This window comes from Homo sapiens, chromosome 6, assembly GCF_000001405.40.
Source record: "Homo sapiens chromosome 6, GRCh38.p14 Primary Assembly".
Classification (NCBI taxonomy): Eukaryota; Metazoa; Chordata; class Mammalia; order Primates; family Hominidae; genus Homo; species Homo sapiens.
Window position 1 is genome coordinate 37,762,419 of NC_000006.12, and position 17,903 is coordinate 37,780,321.

At 49.1% G+C, this 17,903-nt stretch overlaps 4 annotated features.

Moving 5' to 3' along the window:
- Positions 1–502: an enhancer, noted in NCBI's record as "H3K4me1 hESC enhancer chr6:37730195-37730696 (GRCh37/hg19 assembly coordinates)". NCBI's record gives its function as "activates a minimal SCP1, AML or CMV promoter by ChIP-STARR-seq in naive H9 embryonic stem cells {active_cell/tissue: H9 hESC(naive)}" and the evidence as "EXISTENCE:reporter gene assay evidence [ECO:0000049][PMID:30033119]".
- Positions 14,033–14,583: an enhancer, noted in NCBI's record as "H3K4me1 hESC enhancer chr6:37744227-37744777 (GRCh37/hg19 assembly coordinates)". NCBI's record gives its function as "activates a minimal SCP1, AML or CMV promoter by ChIP-STARR-seq in primed H9 embryonic stem cells {active_cell/tissue: H9 hESC(primed)}" and the evidence as "EXISTENCE:reporter gene assay evidence [ECO:0000049][PMID:30033119]".
- Positions 14,651–15,582: an enhancer, noted in NCBI's record as "H3K4me1 hESC enhancer chr6:37744845-37745776 (GRCh37/hg19 assembly coordinates)". NCBI's record gives its function as "activates a minimal SCP1, AML or CMV promoter by ChIP-STARR-seq in primed H9 embryonic stem cells {active_cell/tissue: H9 hESC(primed)}" and the evidence as "EXISTENCE:reporter gene assay evidence [ECO:0000049][PMID:30033119]".
- Positions 15,177–15,246: an enhancer, noted in NCBI's record as "active region_24479". NCBI's record gives its function as "activates an Ori minimal core promoter by ATAC-STARR-seq in GM12878 lymphoblastoid cells {active_cell/tissue: GM12878}" and the evidence as "EXISTENCE:reporter gene assay evidence [ECO:0000049][PMID:35858748]".

Consider the following 17,903-nt stretch of genomic DNA (forward strand, 5'->3'; position numbering starts at 1 on the left):
GGTCTCACCATCTGCTGATGGGAAGCACCTTGCCCTGGAGGTTACCCACCCCCCAACAGCGCACAGGTAATGACCAACTGAGGAGGGAGTGGGAAGGGCTGGCCCTCTTCTTAAATGGGGAGAAAACTTTGCAGTGTGGCGTACACTCCAGAGCCCTCTGTGGATCAAGTCGAGGCTAGACTTTAGCTGAGAGCACATCCTCGCTCGGCCTCCTCCTCTGCCACGGGTTCCTGAGAAGTGAGCACTCCCTGAGTAAGCAAAGGTGTCTGAATCCCTGTCTCGGGTTCTGCTTCCAGCAAACCTGATCCAAGACATAGAGCAGGTGCTTAGTAGTATTTGTTGAGTGAATGAGCAAGTGTGAGATGCACCAGGCATGGGAAGACGAGCCCCTTCTTTCTACTCCCCCTACCCAGCTCAGACTGCAGGATCCGAGGTTCATGTGGTCTGGGTTGGCAGGGCCTCCCTGGCTGCAACCTGGTTGCAGTGGCTGCTGTCTCTGTCTGCTGTGCTGTGTCCAGGAGAGGCTGTCATGGGCCTCCCCAGATGGATTGATTAATTAATTATCGCCATCCTGACAGCTCCGGGCTGCTGGCAGGGCCCTCGGCACCCCTCCCAGTTCCTTTTGGCAGGTGAGATCTTCATTTCCCAGCACTTGGCAGAGTCAGGCTGGGGAGGGGGTAGAACTGAATGTTGCAGGTTGTGGGGAGTGCAGGGTGGAGGAGTAGTCTAGAGGGAGAAGACACAGGCAGAAGAAAGGCCTGGAAAATTGGTATTTCTTAGGCTCTCATCTAGGGTCTCCATGTGGAGAAGTTATCCCACTGTCCAGATTGAGAAACTGAGGGCTGGAGATTTGCCTAGGTTCATAGGTTTGGCAGAGAGAGGAGCAACATCCCAGGCCCTTTGCCTCCCAAGTTGGCTTTTGGCCTGCTTTGGAGTGTGGGTGGTAAGGGAAGAGGGATTTCTGGTAACTTCTCTCCCCTTTTCTTTTCTCTACTGTAAACCTTCCCCATCAGCAGGTGCCTCCCCAGCTTGAGACAGACCAGGAGAAACCTCATCCATGCACATTCTCCAGAAGGGACCAGGAATGATGAGATGTTCCACTTCCAGCTCTTTGAGTTTCTCCATGGCTCCCCCACCCCACTCTCCATCCCATCCTCCCCTGGGCTGAGCTGACAGCTGTCAGGCTAAGAGGAGTGACAGGTGCTTTTGTGATTAATCACTGCAGACCACACACCAAGGAGAAGGGAATCGGGGCGAACAGAGGGGAGGACTGGAAGGGCCCCCCCAGCCTTCTCTTGGTGGGAGTTTTCCAGGGTGGGCATCCTCTCTGGTGTTCTCTTTGTTGCCCTGTACAAGCCTGGTTACAAGCCTGGCATTAGTGTTTGCAAGGGAGTCCATGGGGCTGTCCGCTTTTGATGGGGAGATAAGAGTTCACCTCTTTGGCCAGGTGCAGTGGCTCATGCCTGTAATCCCAACACTTTGGGAGACCAAGGCTGGATTATCACTTGAGCCCAGGAGTTCGAGACCAGCCTGGGCAACATAGCAAGAGCCTCGTCTCTACAAAAAATAAGAAAAAATTAGTCAGACATGGTGGCACTCACCTGTAGTCCTAACTACTTCTAAGGCTGAGGCAAGAGGATTGCTTGAGCCTGGGAGGTCGAGGCTGCAGTGAACTGTGATTGCACCACTGCACTCCAGCCTGGGTAACAGAGTGAGACCCTGTCTCAAAAAAAAAGAATTCACCTCCTGGTGCCTCAGTTTCCTCATCTCTAAAATGGAGACAGTAATAATTCCTACCTCAGATGGCTGGGAAGACCCAATGAGTTAATACATGTAGAGCAGTTAGGACAGTCACTGGTGTGTTGTAAGTACTATAAGCACAGCTACTGCCATTTTTCATTCAATCTAAGCTGTCATGGTTTGGACACACCATGACTTTATGTATGTCTAAGAAAAAAAAAACACTGCTGGAAATATAATGTTTGTTGCTTGTAAGGCACTTCCTAGTTTCAGAAATGTTAAAATTGTGGGGAAAATATGCTTCTTAGAAAGAAGAAAAATGGCATTATTCTCATTCTTATTGCTCTCTAACTGAAGCACTTAGCCCCCCACCGGCAGCGCAGCAAGTGCTGAATAAACATTTGTTGAACAAATGGATGACAGGCCAGCACAGGTTGGAGGAAGGCAAAGGGAGCCCAGCCCCTCTACCTCACACTGGCTCCTGACTCCCTCACCTGGAGCCTCCAAGGACAACAGTTTTTCCATCTCTACCCCTTCCCCTTTGTCCAAACTCCAGCACCCGGCACAGCTCCCAAGGGGTTACTTGGGTAGACTGGCTAATGGCCCCTTCCCCACTCCTACCCATCCAGTGCTCCGCCCAGATAAAACACACCTTCTCTGTGGGCCCCTCAGGAGTGACTGGTCACAGGGAAGAGCAGTTAGAAAGAAGGAAGGACTTCCCAGCTCCTGAACTGGCTGCAGAGCAATGCTCTTGGGGTGGAGGGATGGGATGAGGAAAGGGCAACAATGTGTGTATTCCCCTCCTTTGCTTTTTTTTTTTTTTTTTTTTTTTTTTTTTTTTGAGATGGAGTCTCACTCTGTCACCCAGGCTGGAGTGCAGTGGCGCAATCTCAGCTTGCTGCAGCCTCCGTCTCCCGGGTTCAAGCGATTCTCCTGCCTCAGTCTCCCTAGTGGCTGGGATTACAGGCGTGTACCACCACGCCTGGCTAATTTTTGTATTTTTAGTAGAGACAAGGTCTCACCATGTTGCCCAGGCTGGTCTCAAACTCCTGAGCTCACGTGATCCACCCGCCTCGGCCTCCCAGAGTGCTGGGATTACAGGTGTGAGCCACTGCACCCAGCCCTCTCTCTCTTCCTTTTCTTCTCCCCTCTCCTCTAAAAGGAGATTCAAATCCCAGCTGACATTAGCAGCATGACCTTGGTCATGTCACTTAACTTGGTGAAACCTCAGTTTTCCCTATCTGTAAAGTGGGGCTAGCAATAGCAACTCCCTCCTGCACTTGGTGAGAGAGGTAAATAAAGCAGTAGACTGGCAAAGGGCCCCACTCCCTTCCTCCACCCTCCCCTCACTGCTTGGCTCCCTCACCTGCTTTTTCTTTCTCTCTCCTCCTACCACTCTCTGGCCCTGCCCTATAACCTACTTAATACAAAGACTGATTAATTTCCCCTCTTGCTGCTGAGATGCACTTTAATCCTGCGGGGAGAGAGGAGGGTGGCGGGCCCAAGGCCAATGGAAACCTGGGGCTGGGGGCAGCGGTACCCTGAGGGGCCTTCCTCACACAGGGAATCGCACTCTGGCTGTTCCCACAAAGATTTAATTTGTGTCTTAATGGGCCTCAGCCTCCTCCGTAAAAGCCCTAAAGTGCCTTTTTATTTAAAAAAAAAATAAAAGTTGCTGATTGTGTCTACTGCTTCCTGGGGGATGGTGGAGGAAGGGCAGAGGAAAGGGAAGACCGGGAGAGAAGAGGAAGGGGTGGTAGGGCCTTAGGGCTGTCAGATTCTGCTTTTCCCCTGGCCCCCCATTTCCCAGGCCAGCACCATGGGGAATCAGCCCTGGGGGCAGTGAGGATGTGGGTGCTGCTGGCTGACGTTTTAGAACAATTGTGGTCTGAATTACTGGACCCTGTTTCCCTAGGTCCCAGCCCCTGGGAGGTCAGGGAAGGTCCGGCTGCAGCCATTCAGCTTAATCCAACCAACAACTGGCTGGGCCCAATGGCTCACGTCTATAATCCCAGCACTATGGGAGGCCGAGGCAGGCGGATCACGAGGTCAGCAGTTTGAGACCAGCCTGGCCAACCTAGTGAAACTCCATCTCTACAAAAAATAAAAAATAAAAAAAATTAGCTGGGCATGGTGGCGGGCACCTGTAATCCCAGCTACTTGGGAGGCTGAGGCTTGAACCCCGGAGGTGGAGGTTACAGTGAGCCAAGATCTTGCCATTGCACTCCAGCCCGGGTGACAGTGCAAGACTCCATCTCAAAAAAAAAAACAAAAAAAAACAAAAAACAGCTGATCAGACATCCTACACTGTATGAAGATCTGTCAGGGGCCCCTGGAGCTTTAGGGAGAAGGGGAGGGATGGAAAAAGGAGCCAAATATTTTGCCAAGTGCTTAGTTGGTTCTCACTGGAGAATTGTAGCAAGTTCCACCTCCCTCTCCCTCCCCACACACAGCAACTGCTCAGCATCCCCTTCAAAGCCTCCTGGCAGAGAGAGATGAGTGAAGACCCTGGCTTTGTCAAAAGGCAAAATTACAACAGATTTATAGATTTCACTGGCTTCTATTCACAATTCATGAATCAGAGGAGCCTCCATTCTATGAAATAGAATGAGAGCTCCCACTGGGCAATGGCAGAACAGTGGGTTTGTAAAATGGGAACACTGAAACAGAACAATAGAAATAAATTAATTAACATCAGATTAGTTCATGTTACCTTTCTGTAAGGGGTAAAGTAGAAGGGGCTTCCTTATTACGCTGACTCAGGTAGACTGGAATCTCCTGTTTTCAGAAAAAGACTGGTATATTTTGGGATCTGCTTCCTTAAAGTTGCAGTTTGACTATATGCCATTTAGCATGAGTGACTCCATTTTGGTTTGGGCTGGTCTGCTGGGGCCTAGGGCAGGAGCTCAGTCCAAAACAATGGCCTCTCATAATTTCAACAGCCTCAACCACCTCTGCATCTGTAGCTCCTCCTGGAATCCCTCTTACTGCCTTTTGTCTCTTTCATAGCTGAAAAATTCCCACACCCTCCAATATTGGAGCAGATGAGTATGGAGACAACTGAGGAACCCAGAGTGTCTCCCAGCTGGAGACACCAATTCCAAAAACAGGACTCCCAAATCATTGTCTCTTAGTATCAAGATCTCTCCTTCCAACAGTGGAGCCCAGGTAGGTAGTTGCAATGGGGAGGAGTAGATATATCTGAGCAATACAATTCATTGCCAATCAAGATAACATGTTGCACTGCAGATAAAAGTGAAAATAGCCAAGCACCCAGCTTTCCTTCTGTTGAGGCTTCTTATGTCTTTAAAAAAATTTCTTTTGGCCGGGCATGGTGGTGCATGCCTGTAATCCCAGCACTTTGGGAGGCCAAGGTGGGCAGATCACCTGAGGTCAGGAGTTCGAGACCAGTCTGGCCAACATGGCGAAACCTCGTCTCCACTAAAAATGCAAAAATTAGCCAGGTGTGGTGGCAGACGCCTGTAATCCCAGCTACTCTGGAGGCTGAGGCAGGAGAATTGCTTGAACCGGGGAGGTGGACGTTGCAATGAGCCAAGATTGTGCCACTGCAATCCAGCCTGGGCAGCAGAGCCAGACTCCGTCTCAAAAAAATTTTTTTAAATTATTTGTAGAGACAAGGTCTCACTCTGTTGCCCAAACTGGTCTCAAACTCCTGGGCTCAAGTGATCTTCCCACCTTGGCCTTTCAAAGTGCCGAGATTACAGGCATGAGCCACTTGCCCGGCCAGAGGCTTCTCATGTCTTTTTTTTTTTTTTTGAGACGGAGTCTCGCTCTGTTCCCCAGGCTGGAGTGCAGTGGTGCCATTTCCGCTCACTGCAAGCTCCGCCTCCCGGGTTCACATCATTCTCCTGCCTCAGCCTCCTGAGCAGCTGGGACTACAGGTGCCCAACACCACGCCCGGCTAATTTTTTGTATTTTTAGTAGAGACAGGGTTTCACCGTGTTAGCCAGGATGGTCTTGCTCTCCTGACCTCATGATCCGCCCGCCTCAGCCTCCCAAAGTGCTGGGATTATAGGCTTGAGCCACCACGCCTGGCTCTTATGTCTTATTTCACTGTGCCAACCTCATTCCACTGGGCGTTGATGATTGTGCCTATTAGTCAAATAGGAAAACTGAGGCAGTAGAAAAGAAAACAGGAGCCAGTAGATTACACGACTAAGGAATCAGAAAGTCAACCAAGCTAAAGTGAGCCAGCCTTATTTCCCTCCTCTCCTAGCCCAATTTCCTAACTCTAATTCATTCTACTTCTCTAGCCCAGTTCCAGGATATTTTTAATGGGAAGAATTAGGCAGAAGTTACATTGCCAAATACCTCCTTTGCCATGGTGCCATGCTTCTCTGGAATTCTGATCTCTAGAGGGTACCTCAAGCAGTGATAACTGCAGAAGGAAGCCAGGTAGAAAACATAAATGTGCAAATCAGACCTTGGGCAGCACTGCAGGGAGTGGGGAAGCCTGAGGCACACTAGACAGTGCATGAGCTTCCTTACAGCAACCAATCTTAAATAATTAAAATTAAGAATGTGCGTCTCCTGATTAAAGTAATTGAGTATACTCATTTATCTCTTCTCCTTCCTAAAACACCACTAAATGGCAGTCAAAGGTGTTTTTAAATAAAGGCAAAACCACACAAAACAGTGAAAGATGATAGCAGATGAGAGAGATTACAATTTTGGAAAGTTGGAAAGTTGATGGATGCGTAGCATGAAGGTTAATTTATGTGTTAACTTGTCTGGGCCAAGGGATGCCCAGATAGCTGATAAAACATTTCTGGGTGTGTCTGTGAGGGTGTTTCTGGAAGAGATCAGCATTTGAATTGATAGACTAAGGAGGGAAGACATCATTTCATTTACCGAGGGCCAAAATTGAACAAAACAATGGAGGAAGGGCAAATTCACTCTGGGTTTTTTTTTTTTTTTTCTTTTTGAGAGGGTCTAACTCTATCACCCAGGCTGGAGTGCAGTGGCGTGATCTCAGCTCACTGCAACCTCCGCCTCCCGGGTTCAAGAGATTCTTGTGCCTCACCCTCCTGAGTAGCTGGGATTACAGGCACGCACCACCATGCCCAGCTAATTTTTGTAGTTTTAGTAGAGACGGGGTTTCACCATGTTGACCAGGCTGGTCTCGAACTCCTGACCTCAAGTGATCTGCCTGCCTCAGCCTCCCAGTGTGCTGGGATTACAGGCGTGAGCCACCGCGCCTGGCCACAAATTCACTCTCTTGAGCTGAGACATCCATCCTCTACTGCCCTTAGATATCAGACCTCCTGGTCCTCGGGCCTTTGGACCCCAGGGCACACACCAGTCCCCTCCCCTGACCCCTGTGCAAGTTCCTGAGCTTTCAGACTCAGGCTGAATTGTCCCATCAGCTTTCCTGGTCCTCCAGCTTGCAGATGGCATATCATGGGACTTCTTGGCCTCCATAATTGTGTGAGCTAACTCCCATAATAAATCACCTCTAATGTATCTATATGTATATTCCATTGGTTCTTTTCTCTGGAGAACCCTGAGTCATACAGGTGGTAATGAATTTTTACTGTATAAAAAGGAGAATCATAACCCTGCAAGTTTGGGGGTTGGGAGGGGATTTGCCAACAAAAAGCCAGACAATTCGCACCAGAGAACCTCAGCAAGGCCCAAGTGAGGACACCAGGTACCACTGCAGGTGGGAGTGAGGGGAAGGCTGAAAACTGGAATATTAAAAGCCTCTAGTAGATACAATGACAGCCTCAGATCTCAGCCAGTTACTCCGCTGTCACTCCAGCAGAAGACTGAAGGTTTATTCCCAGGAAAGGTTGAACCAAAGGGCCCCTGGTCACAGGACTAACAGGCTAGCTGAAGGTGGGGTGCTGTACAAATGCTCCTTAACTTACAGTGGGGCTATGTCCAGACAAACGTATCATAAGCTGAAAATATTATAAGTTGAAAATGCATTTAATACTCTAATAAACCCAACATAAGGTTGAAAAATTGTAAGTCAAACTGCTGTAAGTTGGCAATCTTATAAGATTTTTTTGTTGGGTTTTTTTGTTTGGTTGGTTGGTTTTTGAGACAGGGTCTCACTCTGTCACCCAGGCTGGAGTACAGTGGTACAATCTTTTTTTTTTTGAGACGGAGTTTCCCTCTGTCGCCCAAGCTGGAGTGCAGTGGCGCAATCTCGGCTCACTGCAAGCTCTACCTCCCAGGTTCACGCCATTCTCCTGCCTCAGCCTCCCGAGTAGCTGGGACTACAGGCACCTGCCACCAAGCCCAGCTAATTTTTTTGTATTTTTAGTAGAGACGGGGTTTCACTGTGTTCGCCAGGATGGTCTCGATCTCCTGACCTGGTGATCCGCCTGCCTCGGCCTCCCAAAGTGCTGGGATTACAGGCGTGAGCCAACGTGCCTGGCCCAGTGGTACAATCTTGGCTCACTACAACCTATGTCCCCTGGGGTCAAAAGACCCTTCCACCTCAGCCTCCCAAGCAGCTGGGACCATAGGTGCACACCACACCTGGCTTTTTAAAAATATTTTTAGTAGATATGGGGTCTCACCATATTGCCCAGACTGGTCTTGAACTTCTGAGCTCAAGTAATCTGCCCACCTCGGCCTTTCGAAATGCTGTAATTACAGACATGAGCCACTGCTTAGGGCCTTTTTTGTTTTGTTTTGGAGACAGGGTTTTTTTGTGTGTGTGTTTTTGAGACAGGGTCTTGCCCTCTTGCCCAGACTGGAGTGCAGGCGCTATCACAGCTCACTGCAGCTTCAACCTCCTGGGCTTAAGCAATCCTCACAAGCAATCCTCAGCTTCCCAAGTAGCTGGGACTATAGGCAAGCACCACCATGCCTGGCTACTTTTATTTTATTTATTTATTTTGAGACAGAGTCTCACTCTGTCGCCCAGGCTGGAGTGCAATGGCATGATCTTGGCTCACTGCAACCTCCACCTCCCAGGTTCAAGCGATTCTCGTGCTTCAGCCTCCCGAGTAGCTGGGACTACAGGCACATGCCACCATACCCGGGCTAATTTTTGTATTTTTAGTAGAGACAGGATTTCACCATGTTGGCCAGGCTGGTCTCAAACTTCTGACCTCAAGTGATCTGCCCGCCTCAGCCTCCCGAAGTGCTGGGATTACAGGCCTGAGCCACCATGCTCAGCCCCTGTATAAGTTTCCAAGAATGGCCATAACAACCCAAATTGGGTGGCTTAGAACAATAGATATGTACTGTCTCATAGTTCTGGAGGCAAGAAGTCGGAAATCAAGGTGTTGGCAGAGCTGCCCTCCCTCCAGGAGCTCCAAAGAGATGCCATTCCTTGCCTCTTCTAGTTTCTGGTGGCTCCAGGTGTTCTTTGGCTTGTGGCTGCATCACTCCCACCTCTGGCTCCATCTTCACATGCCCTTTCTCCTCTTCTCTGTGTGTCTCTCCTCTGTGCGTTGCTTATAGAACACTTGTCATCGGATTTGGAGCCCACCTGTGTAATCCAGGATGACCTTATCCAGGATACTTAATTATATATGCAAAGACCCTTTTTCCAAATAAGTTCATATTAGGCTGGGCACGGTGGCTCATGCCTGTAATCCCAGCACTTTGGGAGGCTGATGCGGGCAGATCACGAGGTCAGGAGTTCTAGACCAGCCTGACCAACATGGTGAAACCTCATCCCTACTAAAAATACAAAAATTAGCCAGGCATAGTGGCGCACACCTGTAATCCCAGCTACTCAGGAGGCTGAGGCAGGAGAATCACTTGAACCCGGGAGGTGGAGGTTGCAGTGAGCTGAGATTGTGCCACTGCACTCCAGCCTGGGTGACAGAGCAAGACTCCATCTCAAAAAAAAAAAAGGTTTATATTAAAACATCCACAGCCAGGCATGGTAGCTCACACCTATAATCCCAGCACTTTGGGAGGCCGAGGCAGGTGGATCATGAGGTCAGGAGATCGAGACCATCCTGGCTAACACGGTGAAACCCCGTCTCTACTAAAAATACAAAAAATTAGCCAGGCGTGGTGGCTTGCGCCTGTAATCCCAGCTACTCGGCAGGCTGAGGCAGGAGAATGGTGTGAACCCGGGAGGTGGAGCTTGCAGTGAGCTGAGATTGTGCCACTGCACTCCAGCTTGGGCGACAGAGTGAGACTCCATCTCCCAAAAAAAAAAAAAAAAAAAAAAAATCCACAAGTTTCAGGGTTTATAACATGGACATATCTTTTTGAGGGTCACCATTCAGCCCACGGCAGACACTTTGCTGGAAAAGGTGATAAGGTGAAAGTCGGTATTCTGAATAGTGGAACTACAGCCCTCTCCCTCTGCTCAGTTCTCAGTATGCTGGCAGTCGGGTTTATACCCTCAGGCAGGAGATTGGAGAATCTCTCCTTGGAGAAACTGACTGGCTCAAGAGAAAGTGTGTATATACTGACACTGGGCATCTGCCAAGGAAGCAGCTGGGTCCCCACCTGATCACCCTTCCATGAGGCCCACATAGTTGACAGCTTTCCCATGGAGCTGTCAAATGATTTCCTAGTAACCCACTTTTAAATATGAACAGACAGCAGGGATCATCACATGGGTACAGAAAGTCTCCAACTTGAAAGACAGAGACCAAAACAAACAGACAAAAAGGAAATATGAGAAAACATAAATTACGCAAGAAGCAGATTAAAACTTACATAATAAAAAAGCAATATAAACATTATTTGTGGAGAGATGAGACTATGTTATACCCATGAAATAAAAATAATATAAAAGGAAACAGAAAACAAGTGCTCTTAAAAATTAAAAATAATTTCAGGCCTGGCGCGGTGGCTCACACCTGTAATCCCAGCACTTTGGGAGGCCAAGGTGGGCGGATCACGAGGTCAGGAGATGGAGACCATCCTGGCTAACACGGTGAAACCCCGTCTCTACTGCAAATACAAAAAAAAATTGCCGGGCGTGGTGGCGGGCGCCTGTAGTCCCAGCTACTCAGGAGGCTGAGGCAGGAGAATGGCGTGAACGCGGGAGGCGGAGCTTGCAGTGAGCGGAAATGGCGCCACTGCACTCCAGCCTGGGCAACAGAGCAAGACTCTGTCTCAAAATAATAATAATAATAATAATAATAATAATTTCAAAGGATAATGGCTTAAAATCAATATAAAGGTTGAAAGATCAAGTTGTGGGACTCTCCCATGAAATAGAAAAAAACAAAACAAAGAGTGGGAATATGAGAGACAAAAATAAAAAAATCCAAAGATTAGTCAATTAAGTCTAACATAGGACTAATAAGAATATCAGAAAAAGAAGAACAGGCTGGGGAGCAGTGGCTCATGCCTATAATCCCAGCACTTTGGGAGGCTGAGGAGAGACGACTGGTTGAGCCCAGGAGCTCAAGAACAGCCAGGGCAAAATAACAAGACCCCATCTCTAAATAAGCAAGTAAGCAAGTAAGAAAAAGAACTGAGACTATAGAGGGAAAAAATAAGTAAAGAAATAATAAAAGAGGCGGACGCAGTGGCTCACGCCTGTAATCCCAACACTGTGGGAGGCTGAGGCGGATGGATCACTTGAGGTTAGGAATTCGAGACCAGCCTGCCCAACATGGTGAGACCCCGTCTCTGCTAAAAATACAAAAATTAGCTGGGCGTGGTGGCAGCCACCTGTAATCCCAGCTACTAGGAAGGCTGAGGCAGGAGAATGGCGTGAACCTGGGAGGCGGAGCTTGCAGTGAGCAGAGATCACGCCACTGCACTCCAGCCTGGGTAACACAGCAAGACTCTGTCTCAAAAAAAAAAAAAAAAAAAAAAAAGGAAAGCAAGCAAGAAAGAAATAATAAAAGAAAAATTTCCAGCACTAAAATACATGTTTGAGATTATCGAGAACAATGAACAGAGACCAATACAAAGCATACATCATTATGAAATTTCAAAACACTAGCGATAAAAAAGAAACCCTAAAAGCTTCCAGAGGGGGGAAAAAAATTGGTTACTTGCAAAGAAAAGGAAGTCAGAATGAACTCAGATTTTGTTTATCCATAAAAGTGGAAGCTAGAAGACAATTATCAATGTATTTTAAATTCTGAGGACATGGTTTTCTATCTAGAATTGTATACCCAACAAAACTATCAACCAAAGGGCAGGTAGAATAAAGACATTTTCAGGCTTGCAAGATCTCAACATATATGTCTCCTATAGACCCTTTCTCAAATCTTGGAAAATATGCTCCACTAAAAGGAGGAAGTCAATCAAGAAAGAGAAGATTTTATGGCCCAGGAAAGAAGGAATGCAACACAGGCGAAAGGTACATGGCATTTGTCAGATAAGTGTAAAGGGAACTCCCAGGATGAGAGCTGGGCAGCAGTCCCAGAGAAGAATCCATCCAGATTGAGTGGAGGACAGGACACTTCCAGAAAGATATCACTAAAAAGGAAACAAAATGGTTAGCATCTAATGTGTTTAAAAGTGTTAAAGAATTTGTCGGGGCCAGGTGCAGTGGCTCATTTTGTAATCCCAGCAATTTGAGAGGCTGAGGTGGGAGCATTGCTTGAGCTCAGGAGTTGGAGGCTAGCCTGGGCAACATAGGGAGACCCCATCTCTGAAAAAAAGAAAAAATTAAAACATTAGGCAGGCATGATGGTGCACACCTGTTAGTCCCAGCTACTCTGGGGGCTGAAGTGGGAGGATCACTTGAGTGGGAAGATCAAGGCTGCAGTGAGCCATGATCATACCACTGCACTCCAGCCTGGGCAACAGAGTGAGAACTTGTCTCAAAAAAAAAAAAAAAAAAAAAAGGATTTGTCAAATTTGTGATATATATAGGAAAAACTAAGATTTTTTTTTTTTTTTGAGATGGAGTCTTGCTCTGTCGCCCAGGCTGGAGTGCAGTGGCACAATCTCGCCTCACTGCAAGCTCTGCCTCCCGGGTTCACACCATTCTCCTGCCTCAGCCTCCTCAGTAGCTGGGACTACAGGCACCCGCCACCATGCCCGGCTAATTTTTTATATTTTTAGTAGAGACAGGGTTTCACTGTGTTAGCCAGGATGGTCTCGATCTCCTGACCTCATGATCTGCTCACCTCGACCTCCCAAAGTGCTGGGATTACAGGCGTGAGCCACCACACCTGGCCTAAGATTTTTTTTTTTTTTTTTTAACAGAGCCAGTAATTAACTCCACAGGAAGCAGGGTAATACAATTTTCAAAATGTAATCAGAGTCTACTTTTTGGCTCAACCATGAATAATATTTGCAAAATCATAATAAAATAAACATTGAATATTGATGTATTAAAATGTGAAAAAAAGTGGAGCCAGGTATGATGGCGCATGCCTGTAGTCTCAGCTACTCTGGCTGGGGTGGAAAGATCGCTTCAGTCCAGGAGTTAGAGGCCAACCTGGAAACGTAACAAGACCTTGTCTCTATTAAATTAATTTAAAAGATGGAATAAAATGATAAAACTACATTGGTGGAGAAAAAGTGGAGGGTTGGGTTTAGCAAACTTAACGTTTTCATCTTCCATACTATAAAGGCAATAGTTTATACTTAAAACTAAAACATCAATAGGAAAATAAGTATTTTTTTGCATAGAAATCTGAAAATACTAGGAAAAAACCAAAACAGTTAACACTTAAAAATGGCTGCCTCTCAGGAGCAGGACTGCAGGGTGCAGAAGGCCAGTGTGGAAATGGCTGTTTCATTATAAGCCTTTAAGTATTTGACTTTTTAACAATGTCTATGTATAATTGTAATTTATAAACATCAGTGAATATTAATATAATACTAACATGCCAGCCAAACAGAAATTAGTGAGATCGCTAATTTTTACTTCTACCTCCAGCTCTAATTCTCTGAGTCTTTTTTTGAGACAGAGTCTGGCTCTGTTGCCCAGGCTGGAGTGCAGTGGCACAGTTTCAGCTCACTGCAACCTCTGCCTCCCGGGTTCAAGCGATTCTCCTGCCTCAGCCTCCCGAGTAGCTGGGATTACAGGCGTGTGCCACTGTGCCTGGCTAATTTTTGTATTTTTTGTAGAGATGGGGTTTCACCAAGTTGGCCAGGCTGGTCTTGAACTCCTGACCTCAACTGATCTGCTCACCTTAGCCTCCCAAAGTGCTGGGATTACAGGCATGAGCCACCGCACCCGGTCCTCTGAGTCTTCTGTGCCTGATTCTAGCTGTGCCTCAATGCTCTTTGTTCCTCTATCCTCTTCCCACCTCTTCTTTCCTCTCTTCACTCCCTCCTATCTCCCCACTCCCACCACACCCTGACACCATGCTCCTGCCAGTCAGTGAATCTCGGGAGCTGCCATAGTGCCCCCAACTCCCCTCTTACCTCTGGCTTGTCGTCCCCGCCCCCTTGATCTCACCCGCAGTTCAAGGGCTGAACTGAGTGGGCATGAGCACGAAGGCTGTTGTCCGCAGGCCGGGGGCCTATCATCTCCTGAGCCTGTCTTTATGTAAAAGGCTGGTATTCGGTTCTTCATTGTATTAGTTTCTTATTGCTGCTGTCGTAAATTACCACAAACCTAGTGCCTTAAAACAACACAAGTTTATTAGTTCCCAGTTCTGTAAGTCACAGTCTGACACCGGTCTCACTGAGCTAAAAACAAGGTGTCAGCAGGACTTCATTTCCTTCTGGAGGCTCTGGGGGAACATCTGCTTTCTCGCCTTTTCTAGTTTCCAGAGGTTGCTTGCAGTCCTTGGCAGTGGCCTCCAAACGTCTTCAAAGCCAGGCGAGTCTTTCTCACACCATACTTCTCTGACTCTACTTCCGCCATGACATTTCTTTCCCCGATTCCAACTCTTCTGCCGCCCTCTTCTGCTTTTAAGGACCCTTATGATTACATTGGCTCCACCTGGACAACTCAGGCTCCTCCCCCTACCTCAAGGTCTGCTGATTAGCAACCTTTCTTCCGCCTGCACCCGATCTCCCCTTTGCCATATAATTTAGCATATTCACGAATTTTAGAGCACGTAGACCTCTTCAGGAGGGGGGCATCATTCTGCCCGCCACAATCACAGATCTTGTTTTGCATTAATTTTGATTTTTAAAACTAGCTCATTCAAGTATTAAGTCTCTTAATTGCTGAGTTTTTTGGCACCCCTAAAATTTGATGCCTGAGGTGAGTGAGGCACCCTCATCCAGGCCCTGTCTATCTTTCTTTCTTGGCCCACCCCTTCCATCCTCAAGCCCAGCCCAGCCAAGCATCTTGCACCTCAGGCTGCCCAGGATCCAGCCAAGTTCTGCAGGTGGTTTCCCAACCGCATGCATTTCTCTGCTCCGGTTTCAGAAGTGGGGGCTCAGGCTCTCAGGCTGCCGAGTCAAAGATGGGAAGAGAAAATGTTCGATTTCTCCTGGGCCCCAGGGAGGAGTCAGGCCCCAGTCACTAGACACCTGATCCTCCCCTCGTGGCTGCAGAGACAGCAGCCTTAAGGCTGGCCACAAGCAGCGGGGCCTGAAGCTGGAGGAGCGGGGAGGAGAGTTGAAAGAGGATCCTAGCACTGCTTGAAGGTCATGGGCAGCCAGCGGGTGTCTGGGCCACCACAGTGGGGGATACTGGAAAGCTGATGTGGCTCTCACACTGGAGAGGCCCCTGGGAGGTAGAGGGCGTGATTCCCAGCCATCCTAGCAATGTCACAAAGGAGACTGCTGTGTTGTGGGGGGACGGGGGAAGACTGGGAGGGGAGAGGAAAACTGGGAGAGGAGTGGGTCTTCCTGAGGCTGTGGGGGAAGGGGAGTGGCTACCAAACATTCTGCAATGGAGACAGTGCGTACCTGAGTTCTCAGGAAGGTGGGGAGGGGGTGGTAGAAGGAGAAGGGCAAGTAGAACCAGCATGCCGCCGTAACTTACACCTCTCCATGAGCCTGCAAAGCCACCCTCATGGGGAGGCCATGCACTTGAGACCCTACCCTTACATAAAACTTTCAAGTCCCCAGAGCACCTCAACATTCTCATCTGATTCCCACAACCCCAGGAGGCAGGCAGGAGCACCCCCATTTTACAGATGAGGAGGCTCCATGCAGTGACTTCCCACTTTCATCATGGCTCAGAGAGCCCCCACATCTCCCAGCTCCTCCTCTTTGCCTCCTGGCTTCTCTTCCTAGAAGGAAAGGGAGTGTGATGGAGAAAACTGGGGAAGAGGTGAGGGTCCCTGGGCCAGATAAGAGACAAACACCACCACCATTGCCACCCCTAACAACAAAGTGTCTGACTCCAGGAGTTACTGTGCAGGAAAATGCCAAGCTCAACACATCCTCCTGGAGTCAGCACTCCACGGAACTGGCATGAGGATTTTAGGGGCTCCTCCCCTACTGTCCTCCATCCATAACTGCTCAGAACTGCCTGGTGCCCCCTTGCTACCCACATCCACCACTACTGAGGGCCAGACTGTGGGGTCCAGTGTCACTGGTTAAGGCTCCTGTCACCCCATCCCCTGGGGCAAAGGTTGGGCCAGATGCCTCCTCCTTCTACCCTCTGGGTCTCCCTCACCACCTGCTTCAGGGGCCCCTCACTTTCCCAGAGAATGCCCCAGAGATGGAGTTCCCCACTCAGGCCCACAGGCCTACAGACCTCATCTTGCTGGCAGGGCACATTGAGGAAGGGGGTTTCAGAAAAGGTGGTTTCTCTGAATACATTGTGCCCACTCCTTCACTTCATTTTATAGCACTGTACCCAGAGCACTGCCAGCCACATGGCAGGGACTTGGCAAATACAGTATTGATTAATTTACTTCTCTCTCCCTGCCGTGGCAGAGACCCCAGGAAGAATTTGCCCCCTCAAGTGGTCTTGGGGGCAGGCTCAGATATTCAGAAGGTGATGGGATCTCCCTGGGTCCTGCCAGCATGGAAAGCCCTCCTTATGTGCCCAGCATGGCCTGGTGGGAGGCAGCAAGATGGACAAGCTGCCCTCAGAGGCAGGCATGACTGGCAGCTCCCATCAGCAGCTGCCGGTGTTCTCAATGAAGTGAGGTGATAGAGGAGGTCTCCCTTCTCCCTCCCTGCCCCAGGGCTGGCTGGGCCCTCTAAATGTGTCAAATGAGAACCAGGTGCAAATTAAGTGACTGAGGCACAAAGGCATTGAAGTTGGTATTTCCCATCCGAGGTACTGAGGCAAGGTCACTGGGAATCATTAACAGGTGGAGAGAGGGAGGAAGTGGGGCTATTCAGACAGAGGCTGAGAGGCCAGAGGGAAAAGGGTAGGGTGGAGGGGGAGGGAAGAAGGGAAATTTGCACACCATGAAAGGGGAGGGGAGAGAAGAGACTTGGCCCCAGTACCCTCAGTGGGTGAGCTTGGCATGGCCGCCTTGAGGCTGAGGGCTGCCTGTGCTCTGGAGCAGGTGGGGCGGTTTGTAGCATGAACAGAGGTTTCTCTGATCCTCCAGCTGCCTGGATCCCTTATTGCCCAGGGGTGGTGGCCTGGGAGGCTGCCCAGAAGGGCTGGTGACCTGAGGGGCTGGAGGTCCTGGGCCAGGCCCCCCAAGGTCATGCCAGCTGGCCCTCCCCTGGGCCCAATCAGAGGCTTGGAGTGCACAGCTGCCAACTTATGACTCAGAGGACCTGAGTAATTGACCCACAACTAATCACTAATGGTTTGCATATTTTGCATTTACTTTACATTCTCCTGGGGGTCTCTCTGCAATCACTCCCTACAGGCCCCTCCCCCTGCCCCCATCCCCCGTCCTTCTGTCTCCCTGCTATTTCCTCCAGGCCCAGACCCACAGACCCCCATCTCCTGTCCCTGCTCTCTCACCTGGGATCAGATAGGGCAGGTCATGGGTGGGAACATCCAAACTCCATCCTCTCTGACTTGAGGGCGCAGCAAGGGCAGCTAGGGGCACCTTGGGAGTGGCCAAGATCTGTCTGATAATTAATCTTCCTGCTAATGGAGGCTTCTCTGCCATCAGGGCTTTTAAGGAAACTCAGGGAAGTCCTTTAGTGCCATCAGCGCTGTCTCTGAGGTCCATAGGGGGCTCATTAGCAGCCCTCCACCTCACAGTTAGTGGCCCCTCCTCCAAATGGCTGCAGGAAGGGAGGAGAGCAGCCCAAGGCCCTGAGTGGAACTACTGCAGCCTGAACTGCTTCCCCACTACACCCCCCGCCAAATCTCTGAAGTGGAGTGAAGCGGCTCCTGCCTCTCTTCCAAAGTACTCCCCTTAGCTAGAAAGGACCTATCCTAGACAAGGAAAGCAAGGTCCAGAGAG